This window comes from Homo sapiens, chromosome 4 (assembly GCF_000001405.40).
Source record: "Homo sapiens chromosome 4, GRCh38.p14 Primary Assembly".
Classification (NCBI taxonomy): Eukaryota; Metazoa; Chordata; class Mammalia; order Primates; family Hominidae; genus Homo; species Homo sapiens.
In genome coordinates, this window is record NC_000004.12 from 65480204 (window position 1) to 65503965 (window position 23762).

Genomic DNA, 23762 nt, shown 5'->3' on the forward strand with positions numbered 1-23762 from the left:
AATATTTCAGATGACTCATTTAATAAATTATAGGTAGAAATTTTCATTCAAATTTGAATAAGTATGCAGTGAAATGTGTCAACTTCATTGGAATGCATTATTTTTTGAATGGCAATTTATATATTTAAAAGCTCTGGTAGGGAAGCCTGTCTTTCCAACAAAAATATCAGAATTCAAAAAACTCAGTTTCCGTTTCTCCTCGCATAAAGGTATATGGCTTCAGATATACCAAACCAACGGGCCCAGGCAAGATCTTGATTCAAATAGGCAAATTAAGAAACCACGTTCTTCACGAAGTTCTCGTTTTTGGCTTTCTGCTGATGAAAGTGAAGGAAAAAAACATGAAGATGTTGCTGGTAGAAATACTGATGATTTCTCTTTAGTTTTGAAGTTTGAGATCCAGAAACGGCAATGCTACTTGTGGCAATAGCAATTGCAATAAAATCAAGACCTTGTCATTCATTGTTCAACAGCTGCCATGGCAATGTTCAGCTTCATCAGGCCAGATCTGTGGTAGCGTTTTGGGCATTGTTCCTCTAAATTTATATTCTAATGTTTGAATCTATTCTCAATGAGTCTATGAGCCACTTCATATCCTTTATTAATGCTCTTTTCTATTTCAACTAGCCAGAGTATATTTTGAGTGCAACTAAGAATACAAACATTAATAATAATAATAATAATAATTCCCAGGAGAGGAGTGTTGTAGGCAAGTCTATTAAGGAAATGGGAATATAGGATCAGTGATCAGACTGTTGTGTTTCAGTGTAACAAGGATCCATTTGGTGTTAAAGAATGGCAATCTGACAACTTCTGGCATATAGGGGCATGCAGCTCATTGCTTGTGCTCACCTCAAATCATATTGAAGATTATATTTTTGGTGACTCAAATTCCACCATAAACTCATGAGAAATTTAAGAAATTCAACAAAGATCGTCTGTGTCTAAATGCACTTCATAGTTTAAAGAAATAAAATCACCATCTCCAAGATTAAGTTCTTAGTTTAAATCACATTGAAATGATCAGAGCATCTCTTGTCTCTTATAGTGGAAAGGATGACATAGCTATACATCAAAACTCAAGTCTTTTTCCATGAATTCCTGAATTACAAAGATGATTTAATTTATTTTTTGCCTTTTGAGAAAATGAGACCATTGACTGAGGAAAAAAGTTAAATCATGAGCATTGGAATATTTGGATAAATAGGAGGATTCAGGTGACTGAAAATTTTCTCATCTGCTAAAACTTACTGAGTCCTTCTTGCTAGCAGATTCAGCTGTCCAACACATGACTGAGGAAGCTGCTCCTTCATTTCTTCAATATCAAGTCCATACTTTATTTAAGGTGGTTAACTGATGGAAGAAAGCAATATTCTTTCTGACCAAATCTATTATTTCATTTGAACTCAAAATCCCAACATCCTCTTGGGAGCCAATTATCTAGTTAATACTGAGGACTAGAAGCTTCTTGAATATGAGACTTGCAAGATTTTATAGCTAAATTTGTAAATGCATGGGGGAATATGTGTGAAAATGGATTTTACGTGTTCCTGATATAGAACCAAGAAAGGATTTTAATTCAAGCTGGTATAAATATCTGATTAGAGATTCTAGATTCAATGTGCTACTTCTGGTAGCTGGCTTAGGTGCTAAATACTTCTTCAATTAGTTGACCAAAATCTGAACTGAAAAACAGGCTAAGTTAAATAAAGTTCAGACACTTGGAGTTCTTCCTTTTAATATACAAGGAATTCAATGACCTACTGAAATATGAAAGTTAAGGTGGAATTATTGTTCAAAGCCTGTGAAATAGGCTGGATGCAGTGGCTCATGCCTGTAATCCCAGCACTTTGGGAGGACGAGGCAGGTGTATCACCTGAGGTCAGGAGTTTGAGACCAGCATGGCCAACACGGGGAAATCATGTCTCTATTAAAAATACAAATATTAGCCGGGCCTTGTGGTGGGTGCTTGTAATCCCACCTACTCAGGAGGCTGAGGCAGGAGAAGTGCTTGAACCCAGGAGGCGGAGGTTACAGTGAGCCAAAATCTTGCCATCGCACTCCAGCCTGGGTGACAAGAACAAGATAAAAAAAAAAAAAAAACAACCTGTGAAATAACCCACTGATTAAATTTTCAGAAAGAGCTCAGAAGATACTTTCTTCACTATAACAATAAAAAAGAATGATGAGCACAACAATGCTATCTTTAAAAAAACTCTATAATTTATATTTTCTATACTGGGGAACACAGACATTGAAGCTACATTCAAGTGATTTCATTTCTTTAGGGTTTAGGAGTACTTTACCACTGGAATGGGGGTGGACACGGATCTCATAATAGGTAGCAGGATATGAATGGTAAAAAACACAGTACTCTAGCATGCAGAGACCAAAATAATGAGTCATCTGACCCTTGGCAATGACATCAAGGTCTGGGAAGAAAAAAATCTAAATTTAGTGACCTACTTAGTCATGACCTGTTAATAGTGTTCACACTTGAATTAATTTACTTACCCCATGGCCACTTAAATGAAGAGAAACATGGTTACTCTTGAAGAAGGACTCTGCAATAGCATCATATGTTAGTATTGCACATCTTCTAGCTTTTCTGAAAGACATTGCCTACCATTTCTTTTCCTTTTTTTTTTTAGAGGATCTTTTTTTTTTATTATTATACTTTAAGTTCTAGGGTACATGTGCACAACGTGCAGGTTTGTTACATATGTATACATGTGCCATGTTGGTGTGCTGCACCCATTGACTCGTCATTTACATTAGGTATATCTCCTAATGCTATCCCTCCTCACGCCCTCCACCCCACAACAGGCCCCAGGGTGTGATGTTCCCCATCCTGTGTCCAAGTGTTCTCATTGTTCAATTCCCACCTATGAGTGAGAACATGTGGTGTTTGGTTTTCTGTCCTTGCGATAGTTTGCTGAGAATGATGGTTTCCAGCTTCATCCATGTCCCTACAAAGGACATGAACTCATCCCTTTTTATGGCAGCATAGTATTCCATAGTGTATATGTGCCACATTTTCTTAATCCAGTCTATCATTGTTGGACATTTGGGTTGGTTCCAAGTCTTTGCTATTGTGAATAGTGCCACAATAAACATACGTGTGCATGTGTCTTTATAGCAGCATGACTTACAATCCTTTGGGTATATACCCAGTAATGGGATGGCTGGGTCAAATGGTATTTCTAGTTTTAGATCCCTGAGGAATCGCCACACTGACTTCCACAATGGTTGAACTAGTTTACAGTCCCACCAACAGTGTAAAAGTGTTCCCATTTCTCCACACCCTCTCCAGCACCTGTTGTTAAATACGTTAGGGAGGGAAGGAGGTGGGTGTAAATGCCCAGACCTTTCACAGATTATTGAATACTGCCTTCAAGCTAACATTGATCTTGGTGGATTCAGACTATCACCAAAAAAAATTTGCGTAAGTAGAAGTTATTAGGGTCACGTGATGAATGAGATTTTTGTCTTGGGTTCATATTACAGTTGATACAGTAATATTTCCATTTCAGCTTTTGATTATTTTACCAGATCTTTGGTGTGTATTTGGAAGAGTTACACTGTAAGTGTATCTCAGTGGCCCCTGAAGTCAAAGCTGTGAAACTCTAGTAATGGCCAAACTAAAGACCTCTGAGCATCTCTCTCCTACAAAAACAGTAAACATAAATCCCTGGGAGAATGTTTCAACTAGAGCCGTCATAAAGAACATGGAAGAAAAAAGGCTGGTGCTTATGAAAACATTAGCAGATTTAACTTACCTATTCAGTCTACATGGAAGACAAATTAATCTTGTAAAACAAAAATACCTTTAATTAGGTGGTGGTTCAAGTACAGGCAATGTGGTTTCTCCACTAAAGAGAATCAACAAAGACCCTGGCACTCATTATTATAATAATAGTCTAAAAGGTGACCTTTTTTTTCTTTTTAGAAGTTCACATCTCAGTAAACAGAGATTGCCAACAAGTATTTGCCGCTTTTTGGCAGAAGCAACAGTGTGCTTTCACCATATTGTTCTAATGGTCTCTGAAATTTCCCGTTTTACAGCCAGATTTAGTCTGTGGGAACACTGATCATTTCAATATTTTATGAGACACCATGCTTGTCAACTACAAGGATGGCATCAAATTGAAAAGACCCATTGAACTGGTATTATAATGTCCTCCAGACATTTGGGCAAGAACTAAGAAATAAAACCCATGAAAGTATAGGTAACACCTACCTTGGTGTTATTTCTGATAGTCTGGGACAGCTTGGAACATGCCCTCCAAGGTAAGGTGCAAGTTTGCTGCATTTTGCTACCCATAGCATGTCAACATAGCCCTCTGGAAAAAGGTTCCAAGAGTCTGAGCCTACATTCAAAACAATTAAAATGTGTCTGTTTCGGCCCAGAATTAGAATTCTGTACCTTGGCATGTTAATTATTTGTAATTTTGGTTTTCTGGTTAGAATGAGCTTATTTTCTATTGGGACAAAATATACATGTATATATATTAAAAGAGCTTTAAGCTTAAGCTTAGAAATTCCTAGTGTAAAATTATTTCAAAATAGAAACAAAGTATATATTTATAGAAAAACATAAATACACACTATTTTGTAAAAAGATAAAGAAATTTCAGAGTAACTGTTTTTAACAGAATTTCAAAATTTTACACTATGAGTTGCTATGTCTCTATCTGTATAGATAGATACATTTCATAAGTCCTAAAAGAATAGAACAGAACAACAGAAGTGTTGTCATGTAAATAAATCTAAATATTATTTGGCAAAGAAAGATTATCATGTGTAAATCAATTTTGTGTAAGAATGTATTATATATGAAATACTCATTAGAAAACTTGAAGAGCTAAATAATTTTATTCATTTTATAAGATTAATAGCTTAATAATGAACATATCCACTATTTTATCCTCTAATTTGTATATCCACTATTTGCATATCTACTATTATATCCTCTAATTTTTATCCACTATTTATATTTTATTCCCTTTGTAATTGGCCAAAGAATTCTTTATATAACTAACATATTGACATTTTATTTTCTTATCATTTTTCCCTTCATCATAGCCACTATTTCTTTACATTATGTAACATCTACTTTTTTCTTGCTTTTCTCCCCTTTTACATTTGCTTATTTTTCTTGACCAAGAAAAGTCTCACAATTTTATAATTCTTTCTGGTCAGTAACATTATTATAACCATGTTTTACAAGAACTATAAATTTGAACCAATTCTAGTATTTGACTTTTCCTTAAAATTTTGTAGCTTGATTATTACATGCAAAAAAGTATTGTTTTAGTCCAGATAGCTTCCCCTAAAAGCAAGTTCCTAGGCTCCATAATGATATAATGTTTTGGAAAATGTCTAAATACTATGTATACATTTATAAATCATTTAATCGCTTCTATAGACTATCAGCCTAATGCAAAATTTTCAACTTGAACACACCTATTTTTCCTTCTTACACTTTTTGAATCCAATTTTGAATCTGGACATTCATTGTTGTCACACGCACAGAAATACATTGTTGGAATGCAGAGAGAAATACCACAAAGAATGGTGCTTTGGCATGATGAGCACTTTGAATTAAAAGAAATCAGAAGACCTTAGATGTTCCCTCAGAACCACAAACTTTCTAACCTTCCCTTGTTTCTTCCCTGTCCCCTACATCTCACAATTGCAGGGAGGGACTCTCACTGAAATTTCCTTATTTTACTAAGGGAAACTCCTTTTCAAAAGAAATGTGATTGTCTTAAAGCATCCTTCCTGAAAATCTCACAAATAATCAGGAAACATTAACCACCAGAAAAGAAAAGAGAAGAGACTAAAAGTCATCACCATGTCCAGACAGACTTTTTGTTTATTATTCTAAGGACACCTCCCAGAGATTACCTGGGAGACTTTATTTTTATAATAAGAAAACCTTTGTTCACAGTGAAGTTCGAAGTTCCTCCCCTCATCTTCTCATTACTGGTTCCCCCAGAGGTCAGAGAAAATTTATACCAGGTCATTGTTCTTTGAGATCATTCATTTCCCCATTTACACCCCCCCACCCCCATTTCCCTCTCTATATGAAGAGGGTATTTAAGCCTCAACCATCTGGCCCTTCTTTGAGTCTTATATATGTGGGATACCACATCCAAGTGCGTGTTACTGAATTTATTATGGATGTTTTTCCCTATTAAGCTGTCTATTTTCAGTCACCACAGCAAACTTACAGAGAGGGCCAAAGGGATGCATTTCCTGTACCCCTACAAAATCAATCAGAAAATATCAACACAACTGTTGAGGCTAATTATAAATTTGAAATCAATTATTTAAAAAAGAAACATATTTCCTGAAAACAATCTTTGGAGGATCTCAAAACTAAATTTAAAATCTGCTGAAAAAAGTTTTATATAACAACCACATATGGTGAAGATAACTTTCTTCAATTTAATTCTTAAAAGATATTTAGGCATTAAAAACTACTACAAAACACTTTCTGCAATTTGGGTACTTAAAAAGTGTTTTGCCATGGTGGCATTAAACTTAAGACATTTTAGGAATTATTCTGAAACCACCTTTGCAGAGATTATAACAGTGATATGGCTTGGGCCTGTGTCCCTTCCCAAATCTCATGTTTAATTGTAATTCCCAATGTTGGAAGTGGGGCCTCCTGGGAGGTGACTGGATCATGGGGGCAGTTTCTTGAGAACAGCATATCCTTGGTGCTCTCATGATAGAGAGCAAGTTCTGAAGAGGTCTGGTTGTTTAAAGTGTGCAGCACCTTCCCTGTCTCTTGTATTCCTGCTCTCGCCATGTGAGATGCCTCACTCCTTCTTTGCCTTCTGCCATAATTGGAAGCCTCCTGGGGCCTCACAAGAAGCAGAAGCTGCTATGCTTCTTGTACTGCCTGCAGAACCATGAGCCAATTAAACCTCTTTTCTTTATAAATTACCCAGTCTCAGGTATTTATAGCAGTGGAAAAAGACTAATACAAACAGTGAGAAAATTATGACAGTTAAAGAGATCTTACTTAATTGACTCCATCTTTCCTTTAACCTCCAAGCTGCCCTTGTTCATTCCTCGGGATAGACTGAACTAACTTTGGGGGGAATTTAGTTTATGGTTTAGCTTTCCAACAAAAATGATACTAACTCCTATCTGAAACAAATCCCCTCCTTGCTTAGGGACCAGACAACATTTGTAAAACTAACAAATTAGCCATAAGATTAAAAATTATGGCTCAGGGGTCATGCAGCCAGAATCCACAGGATTCCTAACCTCCCCAATGGCTCCCATGGCTAACATTATTATTTTAAGACCTTTGATTGGTGTTCAAGATATTTTTCAGACACTGCAGCATTCTGATGGATCAGCTGGCATCATACAGAACACTTAAACTGGCTCATTTGGTCTTGTAGCCCTCACCCGGAACTGACTCTGCAGGAGGACAGATTCAGCTTCTTATGATTTCATCCCTGACCCAACCAATCAGCACTCCCCATTCCCTAGACTCCTGCCCACCAAACTATCTTTAAAAAACTCTAGCCTCTGACTTTTGACAGAGCTGATTTGAGTAATAATAAAACTCTGGTCTCCTGCTTAGCTGGCTCTATGTGTATTAAACTCTTTTTCTGTTGCAATTTCCCTGTCTTGATCAATTGACTCTCTCTGGGGAGGGGGCAAGAAGAAACCATTGGGTGGTTACAATTAGAAGTTTCCATAATTTTTGTGTAAAATAAGACTTAGTGATTCTGGAATGCTGATACTGAGAAGAATCTTATTTTGATGTTTTGGGTAGGTTTGCAAAATGTTACAGTGTATACAGTGAGAAGTCTAACCAATAGCAACCAAAAGTCAACAAAATTGTCTGCTGTGAATATAAAAATTTGTTTTACAAGACACCTATGTCTTGACCACCTGGATGAAAATTGATCTTTTTTTGGTATTTAAGGTATTCAAGTTTCAAATAATATACTTGGGAGGCTGAAGGGGCCAGAAAGTTAAAGACAACTATAGCAAATATTTGTTGAATACATCATTAAAAAATAAACAGTTATTTTCTCTACCTAGTTTATCAAAGGAATACCTTTCAAAGAAGTTAAGGTTATGCAAGCTGGAAAATGTACTTCTAAAGGAACACAACTCGGTGATTGTTCGATATGCTTACAATATGTTGGTAGAAGATTCATACGTAGAATCAAGTAAAGTTGAAAGATGTTTCGTAAGAAGGCTGAAGCCAAAGGTTTCAAGCCAATATTTTTCTAACATGGGAAGAGAGTTCACATTTACCGAACACTCCTGATGTCTAGATACAGTGACAAAAAGTCAACACATGCTAGCATTGCCTACAGCTGAGTCTATGCTGAGGGAAAAATTGATTTTCGCTATTCCTGTCCAGCTCTTTAGCACTTCTATTAGTTTCACCTTAGGTTAGGTAGTAAATGGTAAAAAATATAAACGATTCACTGGGGAAAGTGGCTTATATGTGTGCATTATATTTTCTAATAGGAAAAAAAATGCCATAGACAAATATTCAATGTGGCTAAGAACATGAAGAGTATAGAATAATTCCTATTGCATTAATCACATGCTTCACACAATCTGGGCTAATTTTGAATGTTTCCGTCAGCTTTATCAATCAGTAGCAACTATCAACTCTGAACTCAGCTGCATGCATTTTTTTTTTTTTTTTTTGAGACGGAGTCTCGCTCTGTTGCCCAGGCTGGAGCTCAGTGGCGCGATCTCGGCTCACTGCAAGCTCCTCCTCCTGGGTTCACACCATTCTCCTGCCTCAGCCTCCCGAGTAGCTGGGACTACAGGCACCCACCACCATGCCCGGCTAATTTTTTTTATTATTATTTTTATTTTTAGTAGAGACGGGGTTTCACTGTGTTAGCCAGGATGGTCTCGATCTCCTGACCTCGTGATCCACCCATCTCGGCCTCCCAAAGTGCTGGGATTACGGGCGTGAGCCACCGCGCCCAGCCAGCTGCATGCTTTTTCTTATTCTTAGAATATAACCACTTGATTTACCTGAGGTATCCAACAATTCAAATTAATTATTTTTGCTGAGACTTTGTAACCAACAGCATTCCCACATCAAGGCTAGCATCCCGCAACCTACAAACTTACACTAATATTGTATAAACTAAGCCTGATTTCATTCAGTCAAACATGTCCTATTTCTTTGTGAGTACTGGTGGCAAGGATGTGCTCAGTGACCAAAGCCCACCTGAAGTACTAAGGTGATGACAAGGTTACTACACTTTGGACTGAGAGTTGTAGTCAGTTGATAGAGGAAAGTTACAACTTTTTGGCTTTAATGCCTTTTTCTTCCCCTCCCAGATACCTGTTGGTGGACAAAACATGCTAGAAATTACTCTTAGGTTTAGAATGCCACATAGTGGGTTGAATTATTAAATTAGCTGTAGTTTATATTCGGTTTTTATCTTACCAGGAAAGAAGTCTTCCATGTTAATTTGCTTAAAAGTGAACATTTGAGGGGAAAATATAGACAAATCAGTAGCTCAGACACGACTGTATTCCCTACTCCCTAATAATTACTTATTAATTCCAAAATTTCCATATGGAATCTAGAAGTGTTTTCAGGTGGTTGTATAATAGTTCATAGTTACTCTAATTTTGATAAATAAACTTAGCAAAGAAAATTTCATTGCATGCATTTTTGCTACAATAGTTGAAAAAATATGAAAAGATTTATGATCTGCAAGGAAAATTCATCTGTGTTGCCAAGCAAGCAAATAAACAAGCAAATAAAACCTGCCTAATCACATGCTAAATTAATGAGTTTTTAAAAATTAAAGGAAACAAAAAATAGATTTGAGTTGTAAAAATGAATGCTATGAAATTATATGAGATAAATTTTGCTTCAAATGGATTTGATCCAGAAATGTATTTCTAATGAAAAAATTCAATTAAAAAATGTTTTGTTTTGTTTTGTTTTCCTGTAAATGGGATTGCTAACAAAGCTTTAACTATTATTTATTTAAAACTGCAAAAGCGTTTTTGATGTGTTATACTTTAAGTCCTGACCTTCCGGTTGAGGGAAAATTCTCACACAGATTTCAGTCAACTTGGCCGTCAGCTATGGAAATAATTGACAGAACTAGGCCTCACATACACAATTGGGTTGGGCATGGCACTTACCTGCTTGATTTGTGGTTACATTTACAGACACATACTGCCGGGCTCCTGGGCTCAAGTCGGACACTCCATTCACTGCCTCAATCTCAAAGGTATAGTTTGTGTGAGCGAGTAGATCCACCATCATGACAGAGGTGTTTTTCAGGCCGCTTTGCCGGGGAAGGTACCTGACATGACCGCCACACTCCTCACACACACCTGCATGGGAGTTGCACTTCTTGCATGCAATATAATATGACACGTCTTTCCTTCCACCAGTGTCAGCAGGCGGAATCCATTCCAGAAAGACACTAGTTTCATTAACATTTGAGATGGCATTCCGAGGAGCAGAGGGGGGTCCTGGTTTACAAAGTAAAGTAAGAAAAACATATTTTAAGATGGTATTAATTAGGCATTATTTATCACACCAATTCCTGGTCTGAAGGAAAAAATAGATTTGCAATAAGTCCTTTAAGTCATAATTTGTAGTTTTGTTTTCATAATTTTGTAGGGACAATAGTGGGGTTTATTCCCTATGGAAATGACTTATCTTGGCATTGTTATAACACTAGTTCAGTAAAAGCAGAACGTTTTGCTTCATGTATATGTAAACAATTATGGAGTAAAACTATGTATGCACAAATATTATAAGATAAAATTAAAATTATATATTTATAAACTGGTGAGTTTCCTTGGGGATTGAACTGAATGTTTCCTCATTGGTGCTAATCCCTGCAACCTACAAAGTAAACACAAAGTACCTACTAAGAAACAAGCATAGGAAAATACAGAATTTTCAGCGTAGCTCCTGACTACAAATGTTGTAAGTAAAAAAAAAAAAAACCTTAGCATGCTTCAAAATAGATTGCATATCTAGTTGCTAAATCACCAACAGAATTTGAAACCCCCTACTGTATATCAAAAAAGCATTAGAATTTAAGTAAATGGTCAAAATTACAATTTGCAGTAAAACATATTTTACTTTGATATTGTTTTTATATTACAGTTCTGCAAGTTGTGAATTTTATTTAATTGAAAATCTAAAATTTATTTTAAAAATAACCCTGAAAAGGACTACAATAGGATGAATAAAAGCGTTCAGATTTTGAAGGATCAATAGAATAAATTTCAACCTCTAATAACCTACCAAAATAAGAAAAGAAATAGATTTAACACAAATATTTTCATAGAATCATAACATATTAACTACGAATAGCTTTCAGGAGTGAAACTTCCTAACTTCATGAAGTATTTCTTGTACACTTTATTTTTTGTATATACCTTAATGGAAACTGGGTGTAGCTTTTAAAATATATTTTATATTCAGAATCATCTTATTTCAATAAGATGGAATATTTCCACTAAAATATGAGTAATGAAATCCATGATCAGAATTGCTTTATGAATTTCATATATTAAGGGTAACCATATCTTATTTGTATATTATTTTAATTATTCCTGAACTTGATTAGAATAATAGAGAGAACAAAAATTAATTAGGTAATTTCTAACACTAGAGTCAATGTTTAGATATTTAGTTAAAACTTCAGTCAGCTGTTAATGTTATATTATTGGATAATCTCAAAGAAAAAACACATTTATATTTGTTCCAGAGACAATTTGGACATCTCTCCTTACAGAGAATAAAATGGAGTATGGTGGTAGTTGAATGGTTCATAAGCATAATTAAGCTACTTAGGATGATCTGTTATCCTAATATGCATTGTCTGTTCTAAATATCAAAATTGACAATTTTTAACTAACATTTATTAAGTCATGACTTTTGAGGGATTGTTTTAAAAGTGGTAAGAAAGCTAATTGGCATTTAAGATTTAGCTGGATAGAATGTCATTTATCTATTTATTTAGGGACAGAGTCTCTCTCTGTCGCCCGGGCTGAAATGCACTGGAGTGATTTTGGCTCATTGCCACCTCCGCCTCCCAGGTTCAAATGACTCTCCTGCCTCAGCCTCCCGAGTAGCTGGAATTACAGGGGCCCACCACCACACCTGGCTAATTTTTGTATTTTTAGTAGAGATAAGATTTCACCATGTTGGCCAGGCTGGTCTCTAACTCCTGGCCTCAAGTGATCCACCCGCCTGGGCCTCCCACAGTGCTGAGATTACAGACGTGAGCCACCGCGCCAAGCCAAAAGAACCCCTTAACTAAAAAACTTGACATCTTTGCAAAAAAAAAAAAAAAAAAAAAAAATCCCCACCTTGACCATGTTTGAATCCTATGAATTTTGTCATACCGGCCATCTCACATACTTCAATATAAAACAGTCCCCTTTAAGTTGAAATAATGTCTTAAAATGGAAATATCCAGTCTATCAATGATGGGCATTTGGATTGTATTTGCTTTGCTTTACTATCGTAAACAGTGCTGCAATAAACATACTTGTGCATGTGTCTTTATAGTAGAATGATTTATAATCCTTTGGGTATATACCCAGTAATGGGATTGCTGGGTTAAATGGTATTTCTGGAAATACACGTGTTCTTGTTTACTATAAACTTTAGCTTATTTAATAGTACAAAGTTATAGACAAAATGAAATTTAAGATAAAAAATTACAGGATTAACCTCTGAGAAATATCTCTAAGTTAGAACAATGTCAAACTTCTGTTTTGTTTTGTTTTGTTTTTTAATTTCTGCCAACTGAAAAATCCTTGCATTTAACACATTTCCTCTAAATCTATAAGAATGCATCAGCAGCTGAATCCTCCTTTTCTTCTGACTCTTCTACTAACAGCTAGGATGGGGGCACAAGCAGCTTTAAAGTCAAAAGGAAACTCAAACTCAAGTGAAACCCTAAAATAGAGGTAAAAAGTGGAAGCTCGAACTAACACGCACCTACAAAAAACATATAATAAAATTCCTCTGCCCCAATCATAGATATGATGCGTCAACCAAAGTAGAACTGTGAGACTAACCTTTAATTTAAGCAGATTCATCAGGATTTTAGGTTTTATTTTTGTTTGATTTTTTCCTGTAGGCTTATAAAATGTTGTTATATAGATTTAAAAACTTTGTATATTCTAGAAAAAAAATTTGAAGTTGGAGCTATAAATTCAATTCCAAAGAGCCAAAGGCAAAGTGAAGCTCAAGATCTTCATCTGAACATCTATCAGGCGATAAGGAAATCATATGCAGTATTTGTGGTATTATGAATGCAACTAAAAACATACACACACACTCATAGATTATGTATTAGAAAGATCTTATACATAAGTCCTAATTTTTTAAATTTAATTTTATTTTACTTTTAGAAATGCATACAAATTAGTGCTCATTTGACAACACAGTATTAGAAATTCACACACCTGGAAACTGAGAAATGTGAAGCCTGACTGTGGGCTTTGGTCCTAAAAAAGTGCTAAGCAGTCCTTGCCACCAAAGTACAGCTTCCCCCCTCACGCCCCACCCCCATTTCCAATCCTAACAAATTTGCAGAAAGGGAGGCTCACATTTATGCTGAAAAAAAAAGAAAGATAATGGGTAGACCACTTAAAGAAAATAACAATTAGAAAATTAATAAAATTTGAAAGATAATTTAAAACATGGTTTTCTCTTTAATTTACCACTCTGTTGTCTAGCCAACATTTTCCCTATTTGGGCATTCATTTGCTCTCATAAGCAAAATAATTATTGAAATCTCCACTGGAACCAAAATTCATCACATCCAATCATAGTTTATATCTTCTCCATTGATATGTATCCTTACAAAAGAGCATATAAAAATTGCATTTATTCATTTGAAGAGGAAATTATTTTTCACTAGTAATCATCTAACCCATGAAATCATCAGCTTTGGGATAAAAGAATGGTCTTCAGAATGTAAAGCTAATTAATAGCAATGATTTAAGGAAATCTGAAAACATGTTTCACTGACACTATGAAATTTAGACACTATGAAATTCAGATAAAATTTCAATTTGTGATTATTTGATAACAAAAAATCTTCACTGCTTCTTTAAATTTAGAGACGGATACTAATATTTCAAATTTTTGTGAACAACTTTGAAAGCAGCTACAACTTTCTGGGACCTAAAATAGTAAATCCAGGCAGTTCATGGAAATTAAACAATATGAGGAGAGAGGGATTCACTTCCCTTCTCTTTAATTTTCTGTTTTTGCTTGATTTGCTACAGAGACTTTCTTATGGAAAAACTCTGAAAGTATTGTCATCAAGCAAACAAATGCACAAATGTGTTACATTCTCAGAAATATATGGAAAACCAAATATACGGAAAACTAAAAATGTTGAAAGATGTGGCTATATCTACTGCAAATGTCAGAATTAAATGTTTACTATTCATCTACTCTACTTATGATCAGCAAATATATTAAATAATAGTTAAGGACACTCACTAACAAGAAACATGACAGCTGCTTGAGAACCCTAGCAAAAAAATTGGTGTATGTATGACTCTGATCTGATTTAAATCTTGTTTGCCACTCCCAGTTCTCTATGTTCCTGAAATATTTCCTGTGTTCTTTTATAAATGACTTCTTAGTGGCTTTATTGGGGCAGTTTAGAACAAGATGGTGAAGGCTCCATCAGCTACATAATTATGTGATGGGAAAACTGGCAGAGAAAGAGGAAGAAGAAGAAGAGGAGGAGGAGGAAGAGGAAGAAGAGGAAGGAAGAAGAAAGAAGAAAGAAGAAGAGGAAGAGGAGGAAGGAAGAAGAGGTTTTAATGTAAACTGGGAAGTAGATTATCAAAGTCATGTTTAGCTAGCATGAACACTGAAATAAGCCACAAAATAAAAGAAAATATTCTATATCTGTGTCTCAGCTGTTGAATTTGAAGTTAGGGAAAATGGATACTTCTAACAATGAGTGATAAAAAGAGACTCAAATTTTTCAGTGCTTATTCAAGGAGATTGAAAATTGGTGAAAACTGTATAGAGATGATTAAACATTATGTCTGTTTTAGGGGGAAATGTTACTAGACTATAACAGGCTCCATCATGCTGTTTCCTCAAAACTGGTTAAAGTTAGCACCACCAAATATCCGTGGGTTTCCTTACTTGTGCATGCCATTGTGGGTGGATCAGACTCTCTCCTGAAATAATCCTTTTCACAGACACAAGAGGTTGAAGCTTCCTCATGGGTATAACTGTGAGGTGGACATTTGCCGCAGCTCTGGATGTGAGGTGAGGCTTTGAAGAACCCAGGTCTGCACACTGTCAAAAGAAATAAGAGACTAAGCTTTTCCCTGGAACAGATGCAGTGTTTGTTTTGTGAATAATGTCATTATTTTGACTTGTATATGCAGATTACAGATAACACAATCTTTGCATCAATTTCAAGAAGTTTTCATAAGCTTCTGGATCATAAATACCAGGCTATTCATTCAAATAATCAAATATTTATTTAAAGTACTTAAACATTTATGGAATGTACATACTTGTAATGATTTTTATGCTACAGGAGCTTATAAGGAATTATATTGATAAAAGGCAAATATTTTTATGTATTTAAAACTGAAGCAGTGCTTTGTGTATAGTTTTCACTTACTCTATCATTACTACAACTATGTTGAAGAAATAAATATTATTCCATGTACTGCTAAAATGGTATGATACAAAGTAGGCACTCAAAATTGTGTTATTGAATAATAAATTAATTAATTAGTATGTGCTAAATGCCTCATGAATTCTGTTAGATTGGGGAGAATGCATAGATGACCTGATATATCAACTGTATTATTTTTATTTTAAGGGAGTCACATTTTTGACATTTGTTTTACATTTACTTCATTTTAGAACTTTTCTTTGAGACACCTACTGATTCAACATTTATCTATTCTAATATCAGTAAGGCTTATTTACTATACAAATTATAATGATTTCTTAAGTTCAAACATTATGTCTTTTTTTTTATTATACTTTAAGTTTTAGGGTACATGTGCACAATGTGCAGGTTAGTTACATATGTATACATGTGCCATGCTGGTGCGCTGCACCCACTAACTCGTCATCTAGCATTAGGTATATCTCCCAATGCTATCCCTCCCCCCTCCCCCCACCCCACCACAGGCCCCAGAGTGTGATATTCCCCTTCCTGTGTCCATGTGATCTCATTGTTCAATTCCCACTTATGAGTGAGAACATGTGGTGTTTGGTTTTTTGTTCTTGCGATAGTTTACTGAGAATGATGATTTCCAATTTCATCCATGTCCCTACAAAGGACATGAACTCATCATTTTTTATGGCTGCATAGTATTCCATGGTGTATATGTGCCACATTTTCTTAATCCAGTCTATCATTGTTGGACATTTGGGTTGGTTCCAAGTCTTTGCTATTGTGAATAATGCCGCAATAAACATACGTGTGCATGTGTCTTTAGAGAAGCATGATTTACAGTCCTTTGGGTACATACCCAGTAATGGGATGGCTTATGTCTTACTCAGTTTTGCACTTACTTTTTCCAGTGTTTGACCACAAAAGGCGTTCAAAGAGTTCTATGAAATGTGTGAATGAATGAATGGATTGGCATGAATATTATAACAACTATTTAGAATCACATAAAGAAAGTGTTTTCTGATATTTCTATGAGCATTTCTAAGCTTATCATCAGGTAAATGCGCATGAAGTAAATCTTTTTATTCTGTGGATTTTCTACATGTTCATATTATTCTTATTTCTCACTGGCTAATAAAGCCAAACTTTAATATGCTAATTGCTCAGTATGGGTCAGTCGAAGACTACCAAACTGATGGTTTGAGTGCTTTGTACAGCTTACTTTAAATAAAGCTAATCAACTACTTTTTTCTATTTTCAAAGCTCACTACATATACTGAAGTATGACGCATATTTGCTGAAGCTCAAAGGTGAACTTGTATTTCAGTAGAAATTTCTGATAGACTAAATGAACTGGGGCCAACTTTCATATTCTATAAATGATTTCATGTTTTAGTAATCCATGCTAAGGCTCTCTGCCATCACCATGAATAATCAGGAATTGGCAAAATTGAGAAGGTACTCTTTTCAGTAGATCTAATTATAGTGATAGTAAAGCCTTAATGCTCTTATAAATTCTGAGAAAATGTGAAGGTATTTGAAAGATAAAAAGAGCTTTTTGATAGTATTAGGGACATTCTTGTAGTTAAATGATTAGGAGAAGATTTAAAATATTATTTTTCTTATAATAGGATTGCTATAGCAGCTTATGCCATACTTAGCTAAGTTATTCAATTTTTCTTCTTTTATCCTTTTAGTAAAACCATTCTCACTTTAAACACTATTTGCTTTCAAAGACATGAAGTGTCAATTCATATGTTCTAAGTATTTGGAATTCATTTACCATTCATGAAACAAAAGTCATTTCTTTTCTTTTTAATGAATGCCTCTTAACTTAAACACTTTATATTATATCACATATAACACTGCTGTTCAAACCCCAAAGGGAGCTTTGGAAATATAAAATAATATAAATCGAAGTAAAAAGTAGATAAATGTATCTTTCTGTTCAGTTCAATAAGATGTTTTCAGCAGGTATAGTGGGCCAGTAACTCTACTTGAACTGGCTTCAGAGGTAAATGTGATAGACACAGCCTTGCCTTTATGAATCTTAAAGGTAGTCCATAAATATTATAAATATTACTACACCAGGAAAAGAAAAAGGAGCTATAGCAGTAAACATAGATACCCAATTTAATCTAGATTATTAAAGGAGATTTCCCTCAGGAAGCTGAGTCTCTGCTTATATTTGAAAGATTATGAAAATGATTTAATTTGAGTTAAAGTGTATCCGTACCTTAAAGGGAGAAATCCTTGCAAAGGACCACATGAGGTGGAGAACAAATAGCGAAATGGAAGATACTAAAGAATTGATCAAGAAGATAGTCAGAATAAAGTGGAAGAGTCAAGTTTATACAGGACAGAGGGCACCAGGCCACAAAAACCTTACATATTTTATTAGATATTTGGTACTTTATTTTATAGGCAAAGGGAGGTCATTGGAAAGTTCCCCTCACCCCAGCTTTATTAAGGTTTAACTGACAAATGAAAATTGTATATTTTCACAGTAACTGCAAAGTTATTAAGCCAAGGAATAATGAGATCAAAGTAGTGTTTATGAGATCATTACACAGCAGCCTGGGTAAAAAAGCAAGATCAGAGGCAAATAGCTCTTTTGTTTCTATTGCATTGGTCCAGAAAGAGACAATGTCACTTAACCAGAGTGGTTCCAGTAGTGATCAATAAAACGAGGGGAATTCAAGAAATGAGAATGGGGTAAAATCAACTAGGTTTCATGATGTATTTAATGGGTTAGATGACTTAGTGGAAAATCGTAAGAGTGACTGTAAGGTATTTGGCTTAAACTTTACAGAAAATACTGGTGCCATTTTCTCAGAGAACAGGACATGAAATGTGTTGGAGAAGATAATGAGTAATATGTAAGGCATTATTTAATTTGAGGTGGTTGAAGTAATGCAAATAGATGTTTAGAGAGAAAAAAAACCTGTGTGGTTCAATATTATCCAAGAAAAATGTCATAAACTGTAATTATTCATCACCTTCAAATCATGACCCTAAATTCCAAGGGGTCATAGTACCCTGCTAGACAAACTTATATTATTCCCTTAGTTAACTTCATTTCCAACATCAACAGGATTTTCTTGTAGCATCGCCTCTTATTCAAACTCATATTATTCCCTTAGTTAACTTCATTTCCAACATCAACAGGATTTTCTTGTAGCATCTCCTGTTCCTTCAAGCTCCTTATGAGCTCTGTTTCTGTTACTATCAGCTGATACAGTCATTTGTCTTGAGAAAATAAAAGTTGTCAGAAGGAAACTTTCTCATTTTCCTACCATCAAATCTCCAAACCTATATGTCATGGTACCCATCTTCTCTACCTTTATTTCTATCAAAATAGAATAAAATGTATCCTTCTTCATATCAAATAAAATTATCTGTATTTGAATTAGGAACCCCCACTCTGCTCTCTGAGGTGAAGCTTCCAAGTAGCTACAATTCTTTTAAGATGCTCAAAAACAAAGCAAAACAAAACAAACAACAAAACTATCAATCTCACATGATTCCAATTTTCCCAGTTTTATTCCACTTTCAGGATATGATTTCTTAAATTATTTTCCATATATACATCTGTAGTTCCTCATTCTAAATCACATGATGACTCACTCCACTCCATTGATACCTCTCAATGAAAACTATTTTTGTTGAGATTGCAGTTACTTTCTTGCCGTACTCACTTCTCAGCAATATTTGACATGCCCTCTTTTAGGAAACTCCAGATATTTTCATTACAAAATGCTAGCATAGCCTACAAGTTTCCAAGTAATATTTAAAAACTCTTTAAAGGCAGTCTCCTACCATACTCATTGTCTCCATCCATCTACTTATTTCCTGTATTTGAGAAACTTTTCTTCTGCCTCTGAACACTGTAGGAAAAGCATTCTGGGCCAAAAGACAAGACATGTAAATAAATAAATGTATAATCTTTTTTTTTTTTTGAAAAAGCTTGTAGTCCACGATAAGAGATTTGAATTTAATCTGAAACAATTTGGAAGACACTGAAGATATAATTCGTTTTTTGAGTCCACACTTTCTGTCAAGAACTGTGACAAAACATGTTTGAGTTGTGTGAGGAAAAAAATGTTCTTCACACCCATGAAGATACAAGTGTATTTCATGGGTGGAATAATAAATAATAATAATGAACAAACAATGATAGAGGCAAAATTGATATTTTACATTTTAATCATGATAATATTTAAGAAATAATTATCTAGATAAGTAGTACAATTTATTTAAATACCAATCCAAAATGGTTTATTAAAAATAAACGAAGCTTCTGGAGCAAACTTGTTTCATATGATGTCTGTACATTACCTAAATATCATTTAGAAAACATTATGCCAGTCATTTAAGTTGAGCAAAGAGTAGAAGACAAAAAATGCACCCATATTGACATGTTTCATGAGACTATTGTGACAAACTCCTGGGGGAAAGAAAATTATGTTTAAGAATTATTTCTACCCATGCTTGAAGGCTCGTTTTTTAAATGCAACCATTTCCATAGTATATATGCTAATCTGCAAGAATACATGTTGTTTCCCCACTTATCCTTTAAACCTTTGAGCCATATATTTAGCACCTATTTAGAAATTTGCTGTATAATCTTATGAGAAATTGTTTAAAGATTCTCAAAATTACCAAAAAAAAAAATTAAACTGACAAATTGCATCGATTTTTCGCCATATTTTCAATTAAATTTCTTTTAATGTCTCCAATATATTTTACCCTTAAAGAGCTATTAACCTTGGGATAACTAAGTATATTCACTTCATAATTCAAAGTCAATACTCCAGAAATATGGCCCACCAAGAAAATGTTTTAAAAATATTAATATATATAATAATTACTGTTTTAATACTTTAAAATACTATACTTCTTTCCATTACAATTAAAATATACAGCCATATATGTGTGCGTATATATATATATATATGCATACTATACATATAAAGGAAATTGAGTTAAAAAGGCACAGACTATCGTTGTTTGCAGTGTACAAGATATAATTAACTTTCAAAAGCATTGCTGGCCTTATCTAAGTATGTTTTATTGAGAAAGAAAATCACTATGAACAAGATTTATTCCCATAGCTCTATCATATGTGAATTATCAGAGGATATAAGCTAAGCTAAGTGAATTATATTTATTTAATACATTTTTCAAAATAAGGTACTCAGAAGATAGTTTAGTGTGGGTTTAAAATATGTGTTTGCTAAGAAAAACAAAATGCTATAAGGGAATTAAAACTCAAAACATGTCATATTTTATATAGTATAAATATTATTGCTTATACCAAAATTTAACATTAACAGCATTTTATCTTCATATTTAAAACATTGGAAGTGTAGCCAGAGCAATTAGGCAAGAGAAACAAATAAAAGGCATCCAAATAGGAAAAGAAGTCAAACTACTTCTCTTCACTGACAATGTTATTATGTACTTAGAAAACCCTAGAAACTTCACCAAAAGTCTCCTGGATCTGATAAATGACATCAGTAAACCTTCAGGATGCAAAATCAATGTATAAAAATCAGTAGCATTTCGATATATCCATAACATTCAAGCTGAGAGCCAAATCGAGAATGCCCCATTCACAATAGCCACAAAAAGAATAAAATACCTAGGAATACATTGAACCAAGGAGGTGAAAGATATATACAAGAATAACTACAAAACACTATTGAAAGAAATCGTAGGTGACACAAACAAATGGAAAAACATTCCATACTTATGGATCAGAGGAATCAACATCATTAAAATGCCATACTACGCAAACCAATGTACAGATTCAATACTATTTCTATTAAACTACTGATATCATTTTCACAGAATCAGAAAAAACTTTTCCAAAATTCATATGGAAACAAAATGCGCCCAAATAGCTGAAGTAATCTTAAGCCAAAAGGAACAAAGTGAGTGGCATTACATTACCCAACTTCAAAATACAGTATAAGGTTCCAGTAAGTGAAATAGCACGGTACTGGTAGAAAAACAGACACATAAACGAATGGAACATAATAGAGAATCCAGAATAAAACTGCACACCTACAACCTTTTGATCTTTTACAAAGCCAACAAAAATAAGCAATAGGGGAAAAACTTCCCATTCAATAAATGGTGCTGGGATAGCTGGCTAGCTATATGCAGAAGAATGAAACTAAACCCCTACATTTTACTATGTACAAAAATTAATTCAAGATGAACTAAAGACTTAAATTTCATGTCTCAAACTATAAAAATCCTAGAAGAAAACATTAGGAAACACCATTCTAGACATTGACTTTGAAAAAAAGAATGTATGACTAAGTCTTTACAAGCAATTGTAACAAAAACAAAAATGAAAAGCGGGATCTAAGTAAACTAAAGAGCTTCTGCACAGCAAGAAAAACTATTAGCAAAGTAAACAGACAACCTGCAGAATGAAAAAAAATTGCAAACTATGCATCTGACAAAGATCTAATATCCAGACTCCCTAAGGAACTTAAACAATTAAACAAGCAAAAAAAAAATATATAGCCCCATTAAAAAGCAGGCAAAATACATGAACAAACACTTCTCAAAAGAAAAGATACAGTCAACAAACATGAAAAAAATGCTCTACATCACCAATCGGAGAGATGCAAATCAAAACCACAATGAGATACCATCTCACAATAGTCACTATGGTCATTATTTAAAAGTCAGAAAACAACAGATGATGGTGAGGCTGTGGAGAAAAGGAAATGCTTATACACTGTTGGTTGGAATGTAATTAGTTCATCACTATGGAAAGCAGTTTGGAGATTTCTCAAATAACTGAAAACAGAACTATTACTCAACCCAGTGATTCTATTACTGGGTATATCCAAAAGAAAATAAGTTGTTCTGACAAAAAGATATATGTGTTCATATGATCAGTGCAGTACTAATCAATATCAATGGTGTAGTATTAAATAGCAAAGGCATGAATCAACCTAGGTTTCCACCAATGGTGGACTGGATAAAGAAGATGTGGTACAAGTACCGCATGGAATACTACACAACCATAAAAAAAGAACAAAATCATGTCCTTTGCAGCAACATGGATGTGACTGGAAGCTATTATCCTAAGTGAACTGATGCAGGAACAGAAAACCAAATACAACATATTCTCACTTATAAGTGGGAGCTAAACTTTGTGTACCCATGAACATAAAGATGGCAACAATAGACTCTAGGCACTACTAGAGGGAAGAAGGAGGAAGGAAGTTGAGTCAGGGATGAAAAGCTAACTGTTGGGTACTATGTTCACTACCTGAGTGATGGGATCATGGTATCCCAAATCTCACCATCACGTAATATATCCGTGTACCAACAAACCTGTACATGTAACCCCTGAATCTAAGAGACAATTTGAAATTATTTTTTAAAAATGTCTTCTCAGTATGAAAGTTGTTATTAGGTTAAAACATTGATACAATTAAAATAAATTTAAACTACGAGCTCTAAAATTTGGCAACGTCTCTTGAATAATATCAAACAGAAACAGGAAATAGGTCCTACTTGAGAATCTAGGGTTAACTGGCTAACTAGAATGTAAGTTTAAATGATTGAAAACAATAAGGCTAATTGTAACATTAGAATATTACATAAGAAAAGGACAGGAATACTATTGAAAAATCATTAAATCTCTCAATACAATGTATTTTTAATTTATGCTCACCAAATATTGGCAGAAATTCAAAGATAATATAATATTTATAAATGAAACATAAAATAAATTTGGTTACATATTCATTCATCTACAATATGTAATAAATCAGAATTTCCTGCCATGAACTGTACTGAACATGGAATATACAAATATAATTAAGACATTTTTCTTACCATTGTGTCATTAAATAACTTAGTTGTGTGGCAATCACTTATACATTACCCGTCACATATTTAGAAACACACTAATTGCTTAATGGTGTTTAATATTAACATACACATTTTTAAAAAGTCATTCAAGACAATTTTAATAGCATTCATGTGTGTGATACACACACACACACACACACACACACACACACACACATATATTTAACCAAATTGTGG

General features: G+C 34.2%; 1 protein-coding gene across 13 annotated transcripts in view; it reads right to left on the minus strand.

The window, feature by feature from the left end:
- EPHA5 (EPH receptor A5) overlaps positions 1–23762 on the minus strand; it is a 350923-nt gene that overhangs the window by 160637 nt on the left and 166524 nt on the right. For 6 of the 13 annotated variants that reach the window (NM_182472.5, NM_004439.8, NM_001281766.3 and 3 more), the window contains exons 4-5: positions 15185–15340; positions 10174–10509 (exon numbers count right to left, since the gene is read on the minus strand). The exons of 4 other annotated variants lie outside the window; for them this stretch is intronic. In NM_182472.5, coding sequence (NP_872272.2) covers positions 10174–10509; positions 15185–15340 — 492 coding nt within the window. The remainder of the gene's footprint in view (positions 1–10173; positions 10510–15184; positions 15341–23762) is intronic. 3 more of the 13 variants (NM_001437319.1, XM_017007878.3, XM_011531735.4) reach the window with 1 other exon arrangement.